The 24,994-nt window shown below is 43.8% G+C and overlaps 2 protein-coding genes across 7 annotated transcripts in view, besides 1 other annotated feature; one reads left to right on the plus strand and one right to left on the minus strand.

Moving 5' to 3' along the window:
• Window positions 1–24,994, plus strand: part of SLC30A4-AS1 (SLC30A4 antisense RNA 1) — a 51,695-nt gene that overhangs the window by 12,352 nt on the left and 14,349 nt on the right. The window contains exons 2-4 of one of the 5 annotated variants that reach the window (XR_007064610.1): window positions 15,374–15,604; window positions 15,697–15,847; window positions 17,064–20,822. Coding sequence is in view for 2 of the 5 variants with exons in the window: in XM_047433408.1 (XP_047289364.1) it covers window positions 15,697–15,838 (142 nt within the window). In the remaining 3 variants the exon portion in view is untranslated. Of the gene's footprint in view, window positions 1–573; window positions 759–15,373; window positions 15,605–15,696; window positions 15,848–17,063; window positions 20,823–24,994 lie in introns of those variants that run through there. The other 4 variants (XR_007064611.1, XM_047433408.1, XM_047433407.1 and 1 more) reach the window with 4 other exon arrangements.
• Window positions 11,338–12,027: an enhancer, noted in NCBI's record as "OCT4-NANOG hESC enhancer chr15:45764241-45764930 (GRCh37/hg19 assembly coordinates)". NCBI's record gives its function as "activates a minimal SCP1, AML or CMV promoter by ChIP-STARR-seq in naive and primed H9 embryonic stem cells {active_cell/tissue: H9 hESC(naive and primed)}" and the evidence as "EXISTENCE:reporter gene assay evidence [ECO:0000049][PMID:30033119]".
• Window positions 18,901–24,994, minus strand: part of SLC30A4 (solute carrier family 30 member 4) — a 43,150-nt gene continuing 37,056 nt past the window's right edge. For both annotated transcript variants that reach the window (NM_013309.6, XM_017022560.3), the window contains one exon: window positions 18,901–24,612. In NM_013309.6, coding sequence (NP_037441.2) covers window positions 24,458–24,612 — 155 coding nt within the window. In that variant the 3' untranslated portion in view covers window positions 18,901–24,457. The remainder of the gene's footprint in view (window positions 24,613–24,994) is intronic.

A 24,994-nucleotide genomic window follows, 5' to 3' on the forward strand; every position in this document is an offset into this window, starting at 1 on the left:
CGTACCTGGCTGCTCCAAAATGCTTTTTTATGCCTCCCCTACTTAGTGTTTTACACTGTTCCACAGAATATCGGAATCTAGAATTTGTTCCAGCATAAAGTGAAAGATATGAATCAACTTTCATTTTTCCTCATCAATTCATCCATATTTTTAGCAGAATTTATTAAATATGATTCCTCTTTGGTTTTGCTGTCTTCTGTTCATTGAATAGAATTTTTTCTATAATTTGGGAATTTCTGGCATATTTATTGTTTCATTGGTTTATAAAGAATAACTGTATCCAAAATGAACAAAACTCTCACTTTCTTCGCCGTTAATTGTTGCTAAGATTAAGTGGTACCTGAGGCTTCAGCTTCCCCAGGTACCTGCCAGCTAGAGGCATAAGCATGACAGCAGAGGGTGCAAAGTTATTGGAAACACTGAGCCTCCACGGACCCATCTGGCGAGGAGGACAGCTAACCCTAGCTGGGGGAGGAATACCTGGGAGATGGGGAGGGTTAGGAGTGGAGGGAAAACGTGTAGTTATTGAGTACTTGTCATGTGCTGATCACACTGTATTAATATATTACTCAGAAGCCCGCTGTGCAAATGTGGGAACGGAGGTAGCTTGTCTAAGCTAGCCCAGAGGCTGATCCACATCAAGCCCCGTCACAGCTGCTGCTCCTGCCCTGTACTCCCAGTTGACATCTACCACCACCACCACCACCACCATCACCACTACACCATCACCACCACCACCATCATCACCACCACACCATCACCACCACCACTACCACCACCACCATCACCACCATCATCATCACCACCAGCACCACACCATCACCACCACCATCATCATCACCACCAGCACCACACCATCACCACCACCATCATCATCACCACCAGCACCACACCATCACCACCACCATCATCACCACCAGCACCACACCATCACCACCACCACCATCACCACCACCACTACCATTATCATCACCACCACGACCATCACTACCACATTGCCACCATCACCACCACCATCACCACCACCACACCATCACCAACATCACCACCACCACTACCATCATCATCACCACCTCAACCATCACTACCACCACCACACCATCACCACCACCATCACTACCACCACACCATCACCACCATCACCACCACCACCACCACCACACCATCACCACCACCATCACCACACCATCACACCATCACCACCACCACCACCATCACCACCACCACCATCACCATCACCACCACCATTACCACACCATCACCACCACCATCACACCACCACCACCACCATCACACCACCAACACCATCACCACCACCACCACCACACCATCACCACCACCATCACCACCACCACCACACCATCACCGCCACTACAACCACCACCACACCATCACCACCACCACCACGACCACCACCATCACCACCACCACCACCACACCACCACCACCACCACCACCACATCACCACCACCACCACCACATCACCACCATCACCACCACCACCACCACACCACCACCACCACCACCACCACATCACCATCACCATCACCACCACCACCACCATCACCACCACATCACCACCATCACCACCACCACCACCACACCATCACCACCACCACCACCACATCACCATCACCATCACCACCACCACCACCACACCACCACCATCACCACCACATCACCACCACCATCACCACCACCACCACCACACCACCACCACCACCACCACATCACCATCACCATCACCATCACCACCATCATCACCACCATCACCACCACCACACCATCACCACCACCACCACCACCACCACCACCACATCACCACCACCACCACCACATCACCACCATCACCACCACCACCACCACACCACCACCACCACCACCACCACATCACCATCACCATCACCACCACCACCACCATCACCACCACATCACCACCATCACCACCACCACCACCACACCATCACCACCACCACCACCACATCACCATCACCATCACCACCACCACCACCACACCACCACCATCACCACCACATCACCACCACCATCACCACCACCACCACCACACCACCACCACCACCACATCACCATCACCATCACCATCACCACCATCATCACCACCATCACCACCACCACACCATCACCACCACCACCACCACCACCACCACACCATCACCACCACCACCACCACATCACCACCACCATCACCACCACCACCACCACACCATCACCACCACCACCACCACATCACCATCACCATCACCACCACCACCACCACACCACCACCACCATCACCACCACCATCACCACCACCACCACCACCACCACCACACCATCACCACCACCACCACATCACCATCACCACCACCACCACCACCACCACCATCACCACCACATCACCATCACCACCACCACCACCACCACACCACCACCACCATCACCACCACATCACCACCACCATCACCACCACCACCACCACACCACCACCACCACCACATCACCATCACCATCACTATCACCACCATCATCACCACCATCACCACCACCACACCATCACCACCACCATCACCACCACCACCACCACCATCACCACCACCACCACCACCACACCATCACCATCACCACCACCACCACCACCACCACCACACCATCACCATCACCATCACCACCATCATCACCACCATCACCACCACCACACCATCACCACCACCACACCATCACCACCACCACCACAACCACCACCATCACCACCACCACCACACCATCACCATCACCATCACCACCATCATCACCACCATCACCACCACCACACCATCACCACCACCACCACCACAACCACCACCACCACACCATCACCACCACCACCACCACCACACCATCACCACCACCACCACCACCACCACCACACCATCACCACCACCACCACCACCACCACCACACCATCACCACCACCACCACCACCACACCATCACCACCACCACCACCACCACACCATCACCACCACCACCATCACCACCACCACCACACTGTCACCAACACCACACCATCACCATCATTACCACCACCACCACCATCACCATCACCACCACCACCACCATCACCAATACCACCACCACCATCACCATCACCACCACCACCAATACCACCACCACCATCACCATCACCACCACCACCAACACACCATCACCATCATCACCACCATCATCACCACCATCACCATCTCCACACCATCACCACCACCACCACCACCACCATCACCATCACCACCACCACCACCATCACCGAACTCCTGACCTCAAGTGATCCACCCACCTTGAACTCCTGACCTCAAGTGATCCACCCACCTGGGCCCCCTAAAGTGCTGGGATTACAGACATGAGCCACCTTGCCCAGCCCTTTTCTGTGATTCTTTTGCTTATTAGTTGCTTTTGCTGTTCTGATTAGGAGGAAAGCAAAGGTCCTGCTTCCGCAAATATGGGGATATAGGAAACTACAAGGACGCCCATAAAAGTACCAAGTGTGACCTTTGTGCTACAGTCCTTCTTTCTCGGGTTCTCTTTCTGGCAGCTGTGAAAATGGCCGCGGTGGCAACAGTGGAGGCAGATGGCTCCCCGGCAACTCAAATAGCTTGTACTTGATGAAAACATGCTCACTCCTTCTGCTACTGCTTCCCTAGGGGCCCTCGCCAGGAAGGTGTGAGCCTCCTCAGGCTGAGCATGGGGCATGAGAAGAAAGGACTGGGCTCTGGAGGGCTCCAGCATTTAAGGAGCAGGAGGAGGTTGGGGAGCCAGAGGAAGTGGTCAGAGAGGTGAGAGGAGAGCCAGGAGAGTGCAGGCGCGGAAGCAAGGAGGTTCTCCAGGGCGCCTTGGTCACAGGGTCAGAACGGGCAGAGCCAGTGAGAACTCAGCTGCAAAGAAGCCAGAGGCAGCTCTGCAAGTCCTGCCTTGGGAGAGGCTGAGATTGGTTCTGGAGTGAACAGGGCAAAGCCGCTAGCAGGAGGTGTGTGTGTTGCACGTTCCTTTGTGTGTGTGTGGGCGGAGAAGAGGCTTGGGGATGTAAACTCTGGAAGAAGACATCCAAGAAGCTAATACAAGTGGTTACTTATTAGGGGACAGACAGTGAGGACAACGGGAGCAGGAGGATGAGCTATTCACTGTCTTTTTGGATTGCTTTGATTTTTGGACCGCGTGAAGGTTCACGTATTGAAAATAAAAAGGCCGGACGTGGTGGCTCACGCCTGCAATCCCAGCACATTGGGAGGCGAAGGTGGGCAGATCACCTAAGGTCAGGAGTTCGAGACCAGCCTGACCAATATGGAGAAACCCCGTCTCTACTAAAAATACAAAAATTAGCTGGGCATGGTGGCACATACCTGTAATCCCAGCTACTCAGGAGGCTGAGGCAGGAGAATTGCTTGAACCCAGGAGGTGGAAGTTGTGGTGAGCCGAGATCACGCCACTGCACTCCAGCCTAGGCAACAAGAGCGAAACTCCGCCTCAAAAAAAAAAAAAAAAAAAAAAAAAAAAGAAAAGAAAAGAAAAAGAAAAAAGAAAAGAAAGAAAAAATTTAAATCTAGTAACTTAAAGGGCTGAAACATGTCCAGTGGCTATGTCACTTGGAATAGCATTGGTGACCTCAGGGGAGAAATTTTGGTGAAGTGGAGACAATGAAATCCAAAGTATATTAATCGATGGGCCAGGCATGGTGGTTCACGCCTGTAATCCCAGCACTTTGGGAGGCCAAGGTGGACGGATCACCTGAGGTTGGGAGTTCAAGACCAGCCTGACCAACATGAAGAAACCCTATCTCTACTAAAAATACAAAATTAGCTGGGCGTGGTGGTGCATGCCTGTAATCCCAGCTACTCGGGAGGCTGAGGCAGGAGAATTGCTTGAACCCAGGAGGCGGAGATTGCAGTGAGCCAAGATGGCACCATTGCACTCCAGACTGGGCAACAAGAGTGAAGCTCCGTCTCAAAATAAATAAATAAATAAAATAGATCGATGGATGTGATGGCTAATATTAGATGTCTCGACTGGATTGAGGGATGCCTAGATGGCTGGTAATGTATGATTTCTGGGTGTGTCTCTGAGGGTGTTGCCAGAGGAGACTGACATTTAAGCCAGTGGACTGGGAGAGGCAGACCCATCCTCAATAGCAGTGGGCACCATCCAATCGGCTGCCAGTGCGGCTAGAACAAAACAGGCAGAAGAAGGAGGGATGTGCTGGCCTGCTGAGTCTTCTGGTTTCCGTCTTTCTCCTGTGGTTCCTCCTGCCTTTGGACGTCAGATTCCAGGTTCTTCAGCCTTTGGACTCAGTGACTTGCACTGGTGGCCTGCCTTGGGCTCCTAGGCCTCTGGCCACAGGCTGAAGGCTGCACTGTCAACTTCCCTACTTCTGAGCCTTTTGGACTAGAACTGAGCCACTACCGGCTTCTCTCTTCCTCCTGCTCCAGCCATGTGATGCGCCTGCTCCTGCTTAGTCTTCCACCAGGATTGGAAACTCCCTGAGGCCTCTCCAGAAGCAGATGCTGCCATGCTTCCTGTACAACCTGCAGAACCGTGAGCCAATTAAATCTCTTTTCTTAGCCGGGCAGGGTGGCTCACACCTATAATCCCAGCACTTTAGGAGGCCGAGGTGGGCGGATCACCTGAGGTCAAGAGTTTGAAACCAGCCTGGCCAACATGGTGAAACCCCATCTCTACTAAAAATACAACAACAACAACAACAAAAACAAAAAGTTAGCCAGCATGGTAGCAGGTGCCTGTAATCCCAGCTACTGGAGAGGCTGAGCAGGAGAATCACTTGAACCTGGGAGGCGGAAGTTGCAGTGAGCCAAGATCAAGCCACTGCACTCTAGCCTGGGTGACAACAGCAAGACTCTGTCTCAAAAACAAAAACAAAAATAAAAAAACCTCTTTTCTTTATAAATCACCCAGTCTCAGATATTTCTTTATAGCAATATGAGAATGGACTCATAATGGACAAAAGGGACTTTGCCTGTGAGAGGAGGGATGGAAGCAGGGCAGTGCCAGAGGTAGACTAAAGGTCAGGGTGGCCTAGTTTGTTGTTCCTCCAGCTTGGGAGAGATCAGAAGATGGAAGGTTAGAAATGGAGGATGATGGAGCACAGAGGGTTGGAACTGAGAGCCCAGGCAGCCCAGTGAGCCCCGCTGGGGCTGAGCATAGGGTAGCCTGAGGCCTGGATAGGTGTGGGGTCACAGGGACAGCCCACGATTTTTGTATTTTTGGATATTTATGCTTTGTGGAGGGTTGTGCAGATAGCTTCTGAGGCCCTTGCCCGTCTGTTTTTCTGTGATTCGAGAGCAGTGCTTTCAACAGAACTTTCTACAATAATGTTAACGTGCTATACCTGTGCTGTGCAATATGGCAGCCACTAACCACATATGACTATTGGGTGCTTGAAATGTGGCTGGGGTGACTTAGGAACTGAATTTCTAAACTTATTGAATGTTTTTAACTCTTGTTTTAAATTGAGATATAATTGACATATCACGCTCTGCACATATTTAAAGGGTACAGTTTGGTAAGTTTTGGGACATGAGCACACCCCTGTGAAACCATCACCACAATCAGGACAGTGAACACGTGCAGGACCCACACGAGTTTCCTCCTGCATCTTTGTAATCCCTCCCTCCCACCCTTCCCTGCTCCCACTAATCCCCAGACAACTACAGACCTGCTTTCAGTCATGATAGGTTGCATTTTTTGGAATTTTACTTTTGCCCCATCTTACGATGCTGAGCGTTTTTAAGAATTCCATATAAGTGGAATCCTACAGTATTTACTCTTTTTGGTCTGTCCCTTTTGCTCAGCATAATTCTTTTGAGATTCATCCATGTCATTGTGTTTATCAATAATTAATTCCTTCTTATCGCCCAGCAGTATTCCATTGTGTGGATATGCTATGATTTGTTTATCCATTCATCTGTGGATAAATATATTTTCCCCAGTTTTTAGCCATTGTGACTAAAGCTGCTATGAACATCATTATATGAGTCTTTGGACATATGCTTTAATTTTTCATGGGTAAATACCAAAGAACGGAATGGCTAGATCATATAGTAGAATTTAATTTTGATTAATTCTAACTAACATTAAATGGCCAAATGTGGCTAGTGATTACCATATTGGACAGCACAGTTCCGAAGTATATTCTTTAATCCAGTGATTCTGTAACAGGGAAAGACTTCCCCTCCTTCTGTAAAATCTGAATTTATTTGCTCATCATTCACTGAGCAAAGATTTATTGAGGTTCACTTTGTGCCCTGCATTGTGGTGGTCACTAAGGATGGGATGGGGCAAGATGGACATGGGCCCTGTCCTCAAGGTTCTTGTAGTCTAATGGACTCAGTTTGGTTGGGCCATGGGTGTGTTCAACATTGAAGTCTGCTGAGAAATCGGAGGATGAATCCAAAGCAAAGTTATAAAGTGGAGTGGTTTCTGTTAAGGCATTGAGATGTCCCCAGGAGAGGTGTGGGGTTTGGTGAAGGATCGAGGCTTTCCCACTCCTACTGAGATAACCTGTAAAATGAGAAGCAGGTACAGGGATGAGGGAGGTGAGTTTGGAGGATGGGGTGTAGTTGTTGGTGAACCTGGTGTTTCAGGTGTGTGTGGGGTGCTTATTGTGAAGGAAGTGGGGGAGGAGGACGTACTGTGCTAGTACAGCTGTGCCTGTCCTGGGGATGTGGGGGAACAGTTGGGGAAGATTCAGCTCCTGAGAAACCCCTAGCAATCCGAGCTCTCATTCTGTCACTGTGACACGACATACACACATCTCTCGTTAGGTCTCTCCCTAGAGAAAAACTATTTTTAGGCCATGATTGGGTGGGTGTGGATGCATTGAACCAAGAAGCTTCCTAAGAATTTTTAGGTCCTTCTGCTCATGACTCATCAGGTTCTGCTCCTAATTCTGCAGAAGCAGCTCCAACCATAGGCTTCTGGTGGAAGGATGAGGGAAGGGGCTGTGATAGGATGTCACTCCTGCGCTGATGACATGTTCGGAGCTGGGATGATTATGAGTGATGGTTTGTGAAGCAGACCCTGCGTCCTACTGGTATATTTAAGTTCGTGGTTTTGAACCTGTTAGTAGGGTGCTTGGAAAGCTGGTGAGGCCAGGGAAGCTTCTAGTGAGGCTAGGGAAGCTCAGGAACCCTAAATAGGAATAATGACAACCATAGCCACCATTTATTGAATACTAACATATGCCAGGCATTTTGCATGCATTATTTCATTTAATTCTCACAACAGTCCTATGAAGTCAGCTAATGTTATGAGTCCCCATGTAACTGAGTGCCCCGAAATGAGTTGTCTTCTCTCCCCTTTCCCACTGTTCCCTATTTTCTACTTAGCCCTTCAGAAATGCAAATACAACCTTTCACCTCCCCCTCACCAGACACTCCCTGCAGACAAGTTCTTCTGTGTGCTCCAAGACAGATCTCTCTTGAGAGTTGGCAGATTTGCAGACCAAGTCATGCCCACCACGGAACTTTCACCTCCAGAGGGTTGCCTTGGGACATTCATCCACAAGGAGGGCACAGCAAAATCACACCCTTTTCCCACTTGGCCACTTTTACAACTTCTGCCCAGGAAGGTGCCAACTCAACCGGATGGTAAATAAGGCACCAAACTAGCAGTGGGACCCCCTGCCCTTATTCATTCCCCTCTTACTTTATCAAAGTGTCTCCTTTCTGCTCCAGAGGGGAAGTAGCACATTTGAAGGCAGGACACTTTGTGCCCCTCCCCAAGCTAGTGTGAAAGGAAAATAAATCTTGGGGCCCTGAAATCATGAAGCTAAAGGAAAAAGTCAAGCTGGGAACTGCTTAGGGACCTTTGTTCACTGAAATAAGTGCATATCTGATTGCTTCCTTTGGAGAGGCTAATCAGAAACTCAAAAGAATGCTGTTTGTCTCTTATCTACCTATGACCTGTAAGCCCCCTCCCCGCTTTGAGTCTTCCCACCTTTCCAGACCGAACCAGTGTTCATCTTGCATATGTTGACTGACGTCGCATGTCTCCCTAGCACGTATAAAAGGGAAAACTTTGCTCTGACCACCTTGGGCACATGTCGTCAGGACTTCCTGAGGCTGTGTCACCGGTGCACATCCTCAACTCTGGCGAAATAAACTTTCTAAATTAACTCAGACCTGTCTCAGATTTTCAGAGTTCACACCAGCTTTGCAATAAATTCACTTTTTAAATATCTGGCCTTGCTCTTGTTGGACTGTACATGCGACGAGCAACCAACCTGCATTTCAGTTACACCCACTTTACCAACGAAAAAACTGAGCCTGAAGAGGTCAAATAATTTATCTAAGGTCACACTGACTCAATCTAAATTCAAACTCAGGGTCAGTTCTTCCCCATTGGGAGGCTATATATATGAAATGACCTGGCATAAACCCCCTGATAACAGTTAGTTTCTTTCCATTGTCGACGAAAAGTCAAACTCTGTAAAATATTTGAAGAGATTTATTCTGAGCCAAATATGAGTGACCATGGCCCATGACACAGCCTTCAGGAAATTCTGAGAACAGGTGCCCAAGGTGGTTGGGGACAGCTTGGTTTTACACATTTTAGGGAGACATGAGACTTCAATCTAAAACATTTAAGAATACATTGGTTCAGGCTGGGCACGGTGACTCACGCCTGTAATCCCAGCACTTTGGGAGGCTGAGGTGGGTGGATCATCTGAGGTCAGGAGTTCAAGACCAGCCTGGCCAACATGGCAAAACCCCATCTCTACTAAAAATACAAAAATTAGCTGGGGGTGGTGGCAGGCACCTGTAATCCCAGCTACTTGGGAAGCTGAGGCAGGAGAATCGCTTGAACCCGGGCGGCAGAGGTTGCAGTGAGCCGAGATCATGCCACTGCACTCCAGCCTGGGCGAGAGACAGAATGAGACTCCATCTCAAAAAAAAAAAAAAAAAAGAAATACATTGGTTCAGTCCAGAAAGGTGGGCCAACTCGAAGGGGTGGGTGGTGGTTCCAGTTTATAGGTAGATTTAAAATTTTTATGGTTGAATATTGGTTGAGTTTATCTAAGGACCTGGGAGCAACAGAAAGGAAATGTCTGGGTTGCAGTAAGAGGTTGTGGAGACCAAAGTTTTGTCATTCAGATGAAGCCTTCAGTTATCAGGCTTCAGAAAGAATAGGCTGTAAATGCTTTTGATCAGACTTAAGGCATGTGTTAATGTTAAATGCTGACAAGTATAATGAGGGGTGTAGGACCCCCACTTCCAGTCTTCGCCTAAACCAGTCTCTCAGGTTAAATTTTATGGGTCCTGGCCAGGTGCAGTGGCTCACGCCTGTAATCCCAGCACTTTTTGAGGCCAAGGCCGGTGGATGACTTGAGGCCAGCAGTTTGAAACCAGCCTGGCCAACATGGTGAAATCCCATCTCTACTAAAAATACAAAAATTAGCTGGGTGTGGTGGTGCATGCCTGTGATCCCAGCTACTTGGGAGGCTGAGGTAGAACAGTCGCTTCAACCTGCGAGGTGGAGGTTGCAGTGAGTCAAGATTGTGTCACTGCATTCCAGCCTGGGCAACAGAGACCCTGTCTCAAAAAAAAAAAAAATTATGAGTCCCTTGGACAAGAATGAAGTCCCTTTGAGACAGCTGGGTGGGAAGGGCTCCCTGGCAGAACCTCTGACAGCCCGCACACTGGGAGAAATGCGCACTGGGGTGGAGCCGTAGGAAGTTAGCGCCCTTGGCAGGGAAGGAGCCTGGTCTTTCTCTCTTGTTCCGGGGTATGGTACCTGGGATTCAGTCTGCGAGGCAGGACACACACTAGCAGGACCCTGGCTTTGCAGAGAGTCCCTGTTTCCCTTTTTTTCCTTTTTGCCCAATAAATCCCATTTTTCTCACCCTTCAAATTATCTGCGAGCCTCATTTTTCATGGTCGTGTGACAAGGACCCTGCCTGTAGCTTAACTAGGGAAAAGTCATATAACACATTCAGATGGTTGGCCTTAGAATTTTATTTTTGGTTTACATCATCCTTAGATTAGTCCCTGAGGAGAGAATCTACCTGAATTAGACTAAATTAACTAGATGTGTCCAGTAGGGAGGGTCTCAATTTTCTCCATCACAGAGTGAGGAGTGGGAGAAAAAGAAACAATGTAACAAGAACTATGCTAGATGTGGTTTTGTTTTGTTTTTGTTTGTTTGTTTGTTTTTGAGATGGAGTTTTGCTCTTGTTGCCCAGGCTGGAGTGCGATGGCACGATCTCAGCTCACTGCAGCCTCAGCCTCCCAGGTTCAAGCGATTCTCCTGCCTCAGCCTACTGAGTAGCTGGGATCACAGGCATCTGTCACCAAGCCCAGCTAATTTTTTGTATTTTTAGTAAAGACGAGTTTTCACCATATTAGCCAGGCTGGTCTCGAACTCCGACCTCAGGTGATCCATCCGCGTCAGCCTCCCAAAGTGCTGGGATTACAGGCGTGAGCCACGACGCCCAGCTAATGCTAGATGTTGTATGTGCTTTATTTTAGTTAATCCCTAAAGCAACCTTGTGAATGAAGTTCAAGTGAAATGCCTAACCTTGTTTTTACTCTAACTTGCTACTTTGAATCTTCCCTGTTTGTCTCTTTAGTCACCTAGCCTTGCTTCTCATGTAAATAAGACTCTCTCTAGCTGGGAAAGCCGGACAAACTCCAATTGACCCCTTAATTTACAAGACACTAAGGGCTCCTTACCCAACCCCCTTCCGTAAGGAGTTGACCTGTGTAAACAGATCCTCAGCATTTCAAAGGAGCCCAATTAACTGATAAGGTACTAGCACCAACAATGTATGAAGTTCCCAGGATTTTTCTCAAGGAGATAACAACATAAAGCCCTGAGTTCGTGTCTGGCATAGCCCCTATAACTAATTATAAATGAAGGATTTAGAGCCCTGCACCTGGTACCGTTGCTCTTTTTGTAACCATTTGTCTTTTAAATAGTTTATCTCTTTGTAACCATTTGTTTTTTTATTCTTGCATCTTTTTACTTCTGTAGAATTATTGCATTTGAGTTCCCCTCCCCTTCCTAAACCTAGGTATAAAAGTTAATCAAGCCCCTTCCTCGGGGCCGAGAGAATTTTGAGCGTTAGCCGTCTCTTTGGCCGCTGGCTTAATAAAGGACTCTTAATTTGTCTCAAAGTGTGGAGTTTTCTCTAACTCCTGTGGTTATAACACAAGGTGTTATTCTGTTATATAGCTGAAGAAAAAGGCTTAGAGAGGTTTCCACCCTTCCCAAGATCACACATCTATTAAGTTCATACAGCTGAAACTGAACCCACTGTAGCCTGGATCCAAATCCTCTCCTTAATATCCTACCATGCTGGCTCACTAACAAAGTGGACAAGAGAAGAGACAGTAAGAGCATAGCCCCCTCAGGGTCTTTATTTGCAAAAAAAGTCAGAAAGCCTCTGGTAGTTCTAGGAGAGATGGGGACAGAGTGAAAGTAAGTGTACATACAGTTGGGCCATTATTGATAGAGCAGGCTCCTTCCCACCGGGCCCTCCTCACTCACATCCGCCCTACCCACACAGCTTCCCCTGCAGGCAGGTTCTCTCTATGGCCTGGGGCAGCCACCCAGCCTCCTTAGGAGGCTTATAAGAGTGTCATGCAATTCTGCACTGGATAATTGACAGTGTTGGTCCCAGCTGGAGAATCTCACCATAAAGGCTAAGAGTGGGAATGCTGACCCAGACCAATTTGTATTGGAATCCCAGCTCTGCTACTAATTAGCTAACCTTGGGAAGTTACCTAACCTTTCTCTGCCTCAGTTTCCTCATTTGTACATCGGGGTAATAATAATTCATAGAACTGTTGCTAACAATTCGCTAACGCTGAAAAAGCTTTTAGAACAGTGCTTGGCAAGTACAGTGTGGAACACTCAATCAACATTTATTATCATTATACAGACAGCTAGACTGAGGCCTAGCAAAACAGAGTAACTTGTCCAGAGAGACACATTTAGCAAAGCTGGGACCAGAACCAGTTCTTCTGTCTGTTATTTCATTTTATTTTATTTTTAGATACAGGGTCTTACTATATTGTTCAGGCTAGTCTTGAACCGCTGGGCTCATGTGATCCTCCTGCCTTGGCCTCCCAAAGTGCTGGGATTACAGGGGTGAACCACTGTGCCTGGCTGTCTCTTAATCCAATGTATGTGTATATACTTAGTTAAATATTTTAACAACGAAGATAAAGATTATTGATTTTAAATCCATTAATACTTTGAAAGTAGTGTCAGCCACTTTCATGTTGGCTCATACCTGTAATTCCAGCACTTTGGGAAGCTAACCCAGGAGGATCACTTGAGCCCAGAAGTTCAAGACCAGCCTGGGCAACATAGGGAGACCTCATCTCTACCAAAAAAAAAAAAAATCAAAAAATTAGTGGGGGCATGGTGGCACATGCCTACAGTCCCAGCTACTTGGGGGGCTGAGGTAGGAGGATTGCTTGAGCCTGGGAGGTCGAGGCTGCAGTGAACCATGATCCCACCATTTCACTCCAGCCTGGGTGACAGTGAGACCTTGTCTCTTTAAAAAAAAAAAAAAAGTAGTAAGTGAGCTCTCCCACAGTTTCAAGCTGAAAATAGTCGCCTTATTAATTCATTTAAAAAATAGTCTGTTATTAAAAAAACAAGCTGTCATTAGCAAGGCTAGAATTGTTGTGAACCAGCTCAGTGCTACCACTGGGCTGACGGGGAGATTATCATATTCTGTAAGTGATAATAACTGCTGGCCATTAACACATTTAGTTGTAATTATATTATTGTCTGGAGTGTTTCAGAAATGTATCTAATTTTTGTTGTAAACTTAAAGAGATAAAACAGGCCGGGCGCGGTAGCTCACGCCTGTAATCCCAGCACTTTGGGAGGCTGAGGTGGGTGGATCACGAGGTCAGGAGATCGAGAGCATCCTGGCTAACACGGTGAAACCCCGTCTCTACTAAAAATACAAAAAGAAATTAGCCGGGCGCGGTGGCGGGCGCCTGTAGTCCCAGCTACTTGGGAGGCTGAGGCAGGAGAATGGCGTGAACCCGGGAGGCGGAGCTTGCAGTGAGCCGAGATCCCGCCACTGCACTCCAGCCCGGGCTACAGTGCGAGACTCCGTCTCAAAAAACAAACAAACAAAGTGCGCAGCAGTGTCTGGAACGCAGTCAGGGATCAATAAGTGTTAGCAATTATTTCCCTGGTTAACCAAAAGCTGCCTATAGTTTGGTATGGCTGACACATGGGAGGTAGGCTAGTGGTGGTGGGAAAGGCTGGAACTGCGGGGTGACTAGGTAAGCAGTGACCAGATCAGGACTTTGCATGTCATTACCAAGAGGATGGACTTTAATCCTCCTGGTCACAATTTCTGAAGCCATTCCTAATGGGAGACAAGTGTGATCTTCTATCTACAGGAGTGAGGCTATGGCCCAAGAAGCCCTCCAAAAACATAACATTGTTTTATTTCCTGTTTAACTTAAAAAAAAAAAACCCACTGCTATTGTGTGTTCTATTTCATAGCATGTTCAGTGGCAGGCAGATGGTCTTCATAGGTCAATCCTTGGTTGAATAATTGTAAAATGGATGACATTTGGAATAGTCTCAATCTACTTCAGAAAAAACCATTTCCACCGGGTGCGGTGGCTTATGCTTGTAATCCTAAGCACTTTGGGAGGCCAAGACGAGTGGATTGCTTGAGCCCAGAAGTTCAAGACCGGCTTGGCCAATGTGGTGAAACCCTATTTCTACTAAAAATACAAAAATTAGTTGGGCATGATGGTACATGCCTATAATCCCAGCTACTCAGGAGGCTGAGGCACAAGAATCTCTTGAACCTGGGAGGATGAGGCTGTAGTGAGCCAAGATCACACCACTGCAGCCTAGGTGACAGAGTGACACCTTGCCTAAAGAAAACTAAAAAAAAAAAAAAAAAAAGAAAAAAAGAAAAAGAAAAAAACATTTCCAACCACTTGAACCTTTTTTTTTTTTTTTGAGACAGAGTCTCACTGTCACCCTGTCGCCCAGGCTGGAATGTAGTGGTGTGATCTCGGCTCACTACAACCTCCACCCGCCTGGGTTCAAGCGATTGTCCTGCCTCAGCCTCCTGAGTAGCTGGGATTACAGGTGCATGCCACCATGCCCAGATTATTTTTTTGTATTTTTAATACAGACGGGGTTTTGCCATGCCATGTTGGCCAGGCTGGTCTCAAACTCCTGACCTCAGGTGATCCGCCTGCCTCGGCCTCTCAAAGTGCTGAGATTACAGGTGTGAGCCACCGCACTCAGCCTGAACCAACTTTCTGAGATGTCAAAATTTCAATATCATGGTATCTTAAAGATGAGAAACATTTCTTTTTCTTTTTTTGAGACAGGATCTCACTCTGTCACCAAGGCTGGAGTGCAGCAGCAGAATTTCAGCTCACTGCAACCTCGACTTGCTGGGTTCAAGGGATCTCCCAAGTAGCTGGGACTACAGGTGCACACCATCATGCCTGGCTAATTTTTTGTAGGGATGGGGTTTTACCATGCTGCCCAGGCTGGTCTTGAACTTCTGAGTTCAAGCGATCCTCCCTCCTGAGCCTCCTAAAGTGCTGGGATTACAGGTATGAGCCACCACGCCTAGATCAGAAACACTTCTAAAACCAAATACACGTCAATGACTAATACACTAAATTATATAACACTTTGTTTCAAGGTTTAAAAAATATCCTGGACTTTGGAAAATATTCTTATATAAAGAAGCAAAAAGAGGATGGAATAGACTTGTGCTAACACTGAAACTCCAGTCAAGTTGTAAACTGAAAAAGAACGTGTTGAAACAAGGAATTGCCCCATAGCCTTCACAGGTGAGTATGATAGATTAATGAATGGAAGTCCAGGAAACATTTCTTACCTTCACTTCAGTCCTTCATGCCCTGACTGAAGTCCAACATTCACTGTGATCACTGTTCAAAGGTAAATGCTGCAGTAACCATTTAAGCTGTTAGCAGGTTTCCTCTCGAAAAGATGTGGGGTCAAATCTTCAAATGCTAGGAGAGTCAAGGGAGCAGAGACGGTCTGTCTTGCTTCAGGGCTAGCCTTGCTTTCATGAGGTCTCTAAAATTTTCCTACTGTAAAAAATCCTACTCTCTTACCAAGAAATAGCCCAGTATATTTTGGAGAAAAACCAATCCATACACATTTTTCCCATAGCATCAGCTTTTTGTTGAAGTGACAAAAGTGTTAAAACAAACAAACAAACACCAACTAACCACAAACCAATGTGCAGAAACTGGCAAGTGAAACACAGACAACAGGAATTTGAAAATCAAACCAGAAAAAAAAAATTTAAGTCCAGGAGACATGGAAGCAATTTGATAACTCACACAGTATCCTCTTCATGTTTATAGGGTAAGACCCATGGGCCAAACTTTAATTTGTAGTGCTCTGTAAAAGTTACATGAGAGCCTGTTACACCAGAATGCTGCTTGAAAATGTTATTTTTGGTGATAACATTGGATTTTAAAACCTCCTATCTTAAACACATGACTCATGTAGAGATTATATTTTGTTATAAGGCTTCATACTTTCTATTTGTGCCTAGTCTATTTCATAGCTTATAGCAATTATTATGGGACCACAGTTGAAGTCGAAATATATCCAAAAAATATTATTTATGAATATACTAAAGTTTAGCATAATCAAGAGCTTGTAAGACTGTTACCCCAAATTAGTATTTAACATCTGACATGGATCAAAAAAAATGACACATCAAAATAGAATAGCTAGGTAGACAATCAAATAATAAGTAACATCTCAATCTTTACTAGTATATATAATACATATATATAATATATATAATACATATATAATATATATAATACATATATATTATATAATACATATATATAATATATATAATACATATATATAATATAAATACATATATAATATATATAATACATATATATAATATATATAATACATATATATAATATATATATAATACATATATATAATATATATATAATACATATATATAATATATATATAATACATATATATGTATTTTTTTTTAAACAGGATCTCACTCTGTTGCAGTGTCACTGGAGTGCAGTGGTGCAGTCTTGGCTTCCTGCACCATCTGCCTTCCAGAATCAAGCAATTATCCAGCTTCAGCCTCCCGAGTAGCTGGGACCACAGACGTGCCACCATGCCTGGCTTATTTTTTTATTTTTTGTAGAGATGGGGTTTCACCATTGTTGCCCAGGCTGGGCTCAACTCCTGAGCTCAAAGTGATCCATCTGCCTCAGCCTCCCAAAGTGCTGGAATTACAGGCTCAGTCTATACTAGTATATTTACAACTATATTTTATTACAATATTTATTAAATATTGTTGTCTTTTGCTAGGAAACTTAAAAACCTTAAAGAACATCATTTGTGAGCTCCCAATTGGCACAAATTACATAAGGTACTCTACACATATTTTTATTTTCTTAACTTTTTGTTATAACAAGTGAAAAATCTAAAAATCAACTGAATAAGCTTTTATGTTGAAAAGTATACTTAAATGATTCTGGTGATCATGGTGTTCTAGTAAGAAAAATGCTTTGCTAGTGATGTGACAGCGTACGGCATATGAATAATATTTGAAATCTTGCTACTCTTTTCTTATATTCTGCCCCAAACCCAAAGGAAGTTTAAAATGAGAAAAAAGGTAAAGGTATGAAAGAACCTTTGGTGACTCAGGTGGCTTCAGACTTACCAGTCACAAAAACTTGCAAGCAGGTTCTAGGAGACTTCACTGCATCCATATATGCTGTTAATAGTGTTTTTTTTTTTTTTTGAGACGGAGTCTCACTCTGTTGCCCAGGCTAGAGTGCAGTGGTGTGATCTCGGCTCGGCTCGCTGCAACCTCCACCTCCTGGGTTCAAGTAATTCTTCCACTTCAGCCTTACGAGTAGCTGGGACTATAGGCACCTGCCACCATGCCAAGCTAATTTTTGTATTTTTAGTAGAGACGGGGTTTCACCATGTTGGCCAGGCTGGTCTCAAACTCCTGACCTCAAGTGCCCACTCCAGCCTCCCAAAGTGCTGGGATTACAGGCATGAGCCACCGCACCCGGCTTGTTATAGTCTTAAAACACTCTACACCAGGGGTTAGTAAACGTTTCCTATAAAGGGCCAGATAGTAAATATTTTATGTCACTACGCAACTCTCCACGGTAGCATGGAAGCAGCCATAGACAATACGTAACTGAATGAGTGTGGTGTGTTCCGGTAACGCTTTATAGACACAGAAATTCACTTAAAGTCCATATAATTTTCACATGCCATGAAATATTTACTGTTTTTTTTTGGGGGGGGATGGGGACAGGGTCTCACTGTCACTCAGGCTAGAGAGCAGTGGCACCATCACGGCTCAGTGTAGCCTAGACCTCCTGAGCTCAAGTGATCCTCCTATCTCTCAGCCTCCTGAGTAGCTGGGATCACAGGCATGTGCCACTATGCCCAGTTAATTTTTGTATTTTTTGTAGAGATGAGGTTTCACCATGTTGCCAAGGCTGGTCTTGAACTCCTGGGTTCAAGCAATCCAGCTGCCTTGGCCTCCTGAAATGTTAGGATTACAGGCGTGAGCCACTGCACCCAGTGATTTAATAGATGTAAAAATCATTCTTAGTTCTTGGGGCAAATAAAACAGGCTTGCAGGCCAGATTTGGCCTGGGAGGTATAGTGTAGACTGGTCCACACGATTGGAGAGTCAGCAGGCTCTTACTCTCAGACTTCCTGGTGGTCCTCACCAGTCTATTTTACAGTGGCTTCTTTATTTCCTTTCTGCCACTGTTGATGGGACTGTAGCGTCACTGCATGTGACTGATACCAAAAGAGAAAGGTTCTTTTAATTAATCTTTCCATACTATCCAGAAGATTTTTTTCAGTTTTATTTCTTAAACATATAAGAGGGCATTATAAAATGACATTATAATTATAAAAGATTTTCTTTTAAGAACAATGTTTTTAGGCCTACTAATATTACTTAATAAAAAGAGCAGATATTTAAGAGACTGTACATTTTTATTTAATAAACCACATGGCAAAACAATACTTTAATAAGTGTATAGGAAATTACAATGTGAAAGTTGCAAATACAGCACATATATATATATATATATATACTTTGATCTTAATTAACATGGACAAACCCCAGCTTCAAAATCTTTCTAAAATCAATCATATGCAAAATACCTGGTTTCTGAAAGGGCATATGATAAAGTATATACAATTTCTTAAACTGTGATATGGCTTATTTAATAACATGTATTTATTGAGAGAAGCATAAACTTTCCAAATATACAGTATCTTCCAGGTAGAAAGATGACATACTGGCACATTTCAATTTTGTGTTGCAGTTATCTGAGAATATACTAAATTGCACTATTTAAGTGGACACTGTCATAGATTTAACTGGGAAAGTCTCCATAAATGTTTTCCAATCTTATCAAAAAGCAAATTGGTCCTCAATGATTGGAACAGCAGGTTAAACCCTTTACAAGTCAGAATTCAGTGACTGGCAGGCCTGAGTGCACACATGTAATTCAATACTGAGGAACTCCCACAACACTGTCTTCTAATTTGCATGCTCCCACGAACATCACAAATAATATACCTGATTGGCAATCAGTAAAACAAATCTCAAGACCTGGTTGTCAAGATTCATACGACACATCTGGAGTTAGGGTTTGCAAATTGTATTTTGGCTACAAAGATATTAAACTTTATCAATTATTCGAAGATCAGACTTGCCTCCCCTCAACATAGCATATAGTGATGGGTGTTCATTTATGACAAATAACCAACTGGCTCATGAGCTTGGCTTGCTTCAAAGACAAAATGAACCAAATGAACTAATCTTCTATCTAGGAAACACTCTGTAACTTTAAATTTGCTATATACAAATCAGAGCCAACAGCAAAATTGCCTAAAACCTTATTTCAAATGGGCTCATATTCTGTAAGAACACCATATTAAGTTGAGCCAATTAACATATATGCATAAAAGGAAAATAGATTTAGCTAACTGCTTGTTTCAAAATCAAATAAGTCTACAAAAGCTGTGAGAGTGGCTGAGAAACACGACCCAAAGTCTTCTTAGCAATGATATTCACTGGTGGTTGTGCAGTGTAGTCTCTTTGTCTACCACACTTACTCTACGAAGTCCAGTGTGCAGAGAAATCTGGATCTGGAACAACCAGCCATTTTAAAAAGGTTCTTTCATACCTGGACATACATTTCTAAGCGGTGCCTTGTCTCTGAAAGATGATTTTCCTCACATTAAAATGAGAGAGAAGCTCACGTGTCTGATCTTGACTATGTCTATTCTGGAAAGTCTATGAAAGACAAACACTGTCAGGTGGAACACCTGGGTTCAAAAGGAACACTAAGTCTCGTAAGAGCAAGAAACTTAGTTTTAGAGAATGGAAATAAAGCACCCAAAGTTGAAAAGAAAACAGTAAAATAAGAAACCCGGTGATGTGGCAAAAAAACACTGATGGGAACTCTAAGTTGTAAAAATCTGCACTCACATTACATAAGGCATAGCTAATGGAAATGTATGTAGGAATTACAATAGCTTCCAGTTCTGCATATCAAAACCTTCTGAGACATGCTTTCTTCAATTACACTCCCATTATGTTTCTAAGGCAGCATAATTGTTAGTGGAATAATAGGTCTTTTCCTGAAACAGACCAAAAGGTTGCATCTGGCCATAGTTGTGAAACACACGTTTATGTACACAAGTAACTCTGATTATTTGCAAATACTAATTAAAATATATCACACCAAAGAACTGCCAAGTTTTTATATTGTGGTCTGTGGTCCTGTCATAATCTGTTTTCCCAGTGCAAAATTAATAATGCTATGTGTTCATCCAACTCAGCCACTGCTTTTCACAGGGCATAGAGCTCTTTGAGAGCTCAGCTGAGAAGTGTAATGCATGGTTGTAGCTCAACAAGTGAAGGATAGACCAAACGCTTTTTGTCAGAAGTCATTCAGTCCTTGGTCCTATCTGCTAAGTTAATGTCCTTTTCTGTGGGTTAAGTTACAAAAAGTGAAATCAAATTCTCAAATCTCATAGACTCCGTAAGGTAAAGATACAAACTATGTACTTTTTCCTACAAAAACAAAGCACAGGAAACTTTATGTGTACCTCACTTTAAGCAGAACACGATAGTTAAGATTTACAGAAGTTTTCATGGCTGGGTGCGGTAGCTCACACCCTGTAATCTCAGCACTTTGGGAGCCCGAGGTGGAAGGATTTCTTGAGCCCAGGAGCTCAAGACCAGCCTGGGCAACATAGGGAGACCCCATCTCATTAAAAAAAAAAAAAAAAAAAAAAAAAAAAGATTTACAAAGGTTTGCAGTGTTTCTGTATTTTACAAAAGGATTCTTTTTGGCTGGGCACAGTGGTTCATGCCCATAAGCCCAGCACTTTGGGAGGCCGAGGTGGGCAGATCACTTGAGCTCAGGAGTTCAAGACCAGCCTGGGCAACATGGTGAAACACTGTGTCTACCAAAAATACAAAAAATTAGCTGGGTGTGGTGGTGCATGCCTGTGGTACCAGCTACTTGGGAGGCTGAGATGGGAGGACCACTTGAGCCTGGGAGGCAGAGGCTGCAGTGAGCCCAACTGTGCCACTGCACTCCAGCCTGGGTGACAGTGAGACACCATCTTAAAAAAAAAAAAAGAATTCTTTTCAATACTCAAATGAATTTTAGCCTGTTTTATCAAATACATTTTTTAAGGAACAGGTCGATACAAAAGCGAGATATGCCTTTATAAGATAAAGAAAAGTTTACAAGAAACAAGCTCAATAGATATAAAAAAATGATTAGAGTATGATGAATATTTTTTTCCTTTCTACTTGCTAGATACTCAAAGTCCATAAATATGTCCAGATGTCCACTGAAATATCTCTCATTTATTCTTACTTGGTTTCTATATGTAAGAATATTTTGATTTAAATAGTTTATATGCTCCTGAAATTTCTGAGAAATTCAAGTCATTATTTTAAATGACTTCACAATAGGAATCCCATCATGTATATTTTCTTTTCCTTTTTGTTTTTGAGATAGGGTCTCATTTTGTTACTCAGGCTGCAGTGCAATGGTGTGGACATGGCTCACTGCAGCCTCAACCTCCTGGGCTAAAGCACTTCTGCCACAGCCTTACAAGTAGCTGATACTACAGGTGTGCACGACGCCTGGCTGATTTTTATATTTTTGTAGAGACAGGGTCTCTACAAAAGACCAGGCTGGTCATGAACTCTTGGCCTCGAGGGATACTTCCACCTTTGCCTCCCCAAATGCTGAGATTACAGGCATGAGCCACTGTGTCTGGCCACATAAATTTTCAGTTCAATTCAACAAACATCTACTGGGTTTCATTAGAGGGACCATCAATCCTTTTATTGACACCATTAACTCCCAACAATCTTATAGGTAAATCTGGGTTTTCTTATCTTAGGTTTACTTATAGTAAGGTACTTGGTAAGAAGATAAAATGTTTCCTATTCTTCATTTATATTGTAAGTCATCTGCATGCTTATCTAGAATTTCAACTTACAATTTGCCTGGTACATTGTTACCCTACTCTGATTCTTAGAGGAGCCCAATAACCATATCCATTCTTCGTGTAAGAAACTGTCACTGTTGAAAAGGGACTCCAAATGTGCATAAAAGATAATCTCAAAACCAATGGTTGCAAAATGAAACATGAACAGTCAAGCTGCCTCTTTAACACAGGCATTTACAATTAGGTTGCCTTCAGTTTGGAAACCTCTGTTTAGTTTCCCTGCAACACAGATTTAATGTCCATCCCTATCTAGTGCTTTAAAACACACACATACAGGCCAGGCATGGTGGCTCATGCTGTAATCCCAGCACTCTGGAAGGCCAAGGCAGGCGGATCACCTGAGGTCAGGAGTTCAAGACCAGACAGGCCAATGTGGCAAAACCCTGTCTCTACTAAAAATACAAAAAAATGAGCTGGGTGTGGTGTACCTGTAGTCCCAGCTAGTTGGGAGGCTGAGGCAGAAGAATCACTTGAACCCAGGAGGCAGAGGTTACAGTGAGCAGAGGTCACGCCACTGCACTCCAGCCTGGGTGACAGAGTGAGACTCTCTCAAGAACAAAAACAAAAACAAAACCACACACATATATAAGGTCAAAAATCCTTTACATTTCTGTTTTCTCAAAGTAATATCTTCCCCCAACCCCTTGGACATTTCTGCTATGGTATTATTGGAAAACCTCAAAATTGTATTTTAGGGTTTCTGGAGTCCATGGAGAATCCCTAACCCATATCATAAAACATAAAATATATAATAAAACATAACCCATATCATAAAACATAAAATTCTCTCTGGATTAATGTTGTTGAACTATATGTGAAAGGTGGGAATTATAAACTGAACCCTCTAGAGTTTACCCTGAAAGGCTAAACACACAGATGACCTGGAGTGGAGGCAGGAACCAACGTACCACATTTTTTGTACAAATTGTTGGCAGTTCTTAAAGGGACAGAAGATTACTGTTTACATTTTGCAGTCTCTTGCTTTTTTAAGACAATTTCATGAATGATAAAAGTGATGTCGGGAAGACATAAACCTGAAACTCCAACCCCCATCCTCGCTCTTTTATTTTGTTTTAAATCATCATATAGTAATTTGAGTTTAAGACTAACTTCAGCCATTCAGAATAATATTGAAAGTATTTCCTAAATCATTTAATAACAGTGACCACAATAAATAAAGATTTGGTTCTAAGATTACAAATAATGAAAAATGTTAACTTTGAGATTCAAAACCCTGTAGCATCTGGAAAAGGTTGTTTATAAAGTATAATCATAACAATAACATTAAGACTTATGTGTGAAATAAAACATTTCTGAAACACTTAGGAATACATGCTTATTCCACTTTTGGGATAACTACTAGTACTTCCTGAAATCTGTTGGGTAGTAATTTCTGTAAAAAGAAAGCAGCAATTCCAGAAGCTGGGTGTCGAGATTATTATACATAATAAAAAAAATTCAGTTTTCCAGCACTGGCTTAATATAAAATGGCCTTAAAAAGTATTTTTAAATGCAAATATTGAATTCTTGATGCTTCCTTTAAGACACGTACTCTGTCAAGTTAATGAAGTATGATCTTGGATTGTCTTCTATGAGGTATCTGTAGAGTCACATCTCATTCTGTAAACAGTGTTTGGGAAACATCTTCATCTGAAAATTATGGCAAAGTCTCCTTTTACCATTAAACAGAGACTAGCACTGTCAGGCTGGGGCAACTGTTTGAGAGACTGATGCTTGATACGGACACAGCTGTCAGGGATTCCATTTTCTCATTTAGGTTTGCATTTATTGCTCTCAAGTCTGTGACTGCAGGATAAATAAGGCAGGAGTTCCCAAAATACATAAAATTAGGGACTAGAACTCTGACAATTTGCACAAGTTCTGTCCACTTCTTGCCTGTAACTCTGAAGCTGAATAGTACATCTATACATGCCAAATGTGTTCAATAATAAATGGTTTGCTTTGGACTGTACTTCCTCCCATTTAGATGAACTTCCAGGAACTGCAATGTCAAGAAAATATCATTACTATCCATTGTACAGTTACATCTTGAATAAGATACAGGGAAAAAAACAACTGAAATATACTGGGAATATATTTTTATTAGTCTGATTTCTACCCTCTCTAAGCTATTCTGTTAGATAAGTAGGTCAATTTACACATCCTTAATGGCTTCTCATTATTCTAACCTCTCCAGTCTACTCTCAGGTAGAGAAAAAATACCAGACATCAGTTACAAACCTGTCATTAAAATATCTTGTGCACATTAAAAGTAAACCTCATGCATGTATTATTTTGATTTAAAAAGCATCAATAGCATCAATCTGTGAAATGACTTGAAGAAATAAAAATGTAAGAATCTAGCTTTTCCTATGTAGAAAAGA

Source organism: Homo sapiens, chromosome 15 (genome assembly GCF_000001405.40).
Source record: "Homo sapiens chromosome 15, GRCh38.p14 Primary Assembly".
Classification (NCBI taxonomy): Eukaryota; Metazoa; Chordata; class Mammalia; order Primates; family Hominidae; genus Homo; species Homo sapiens.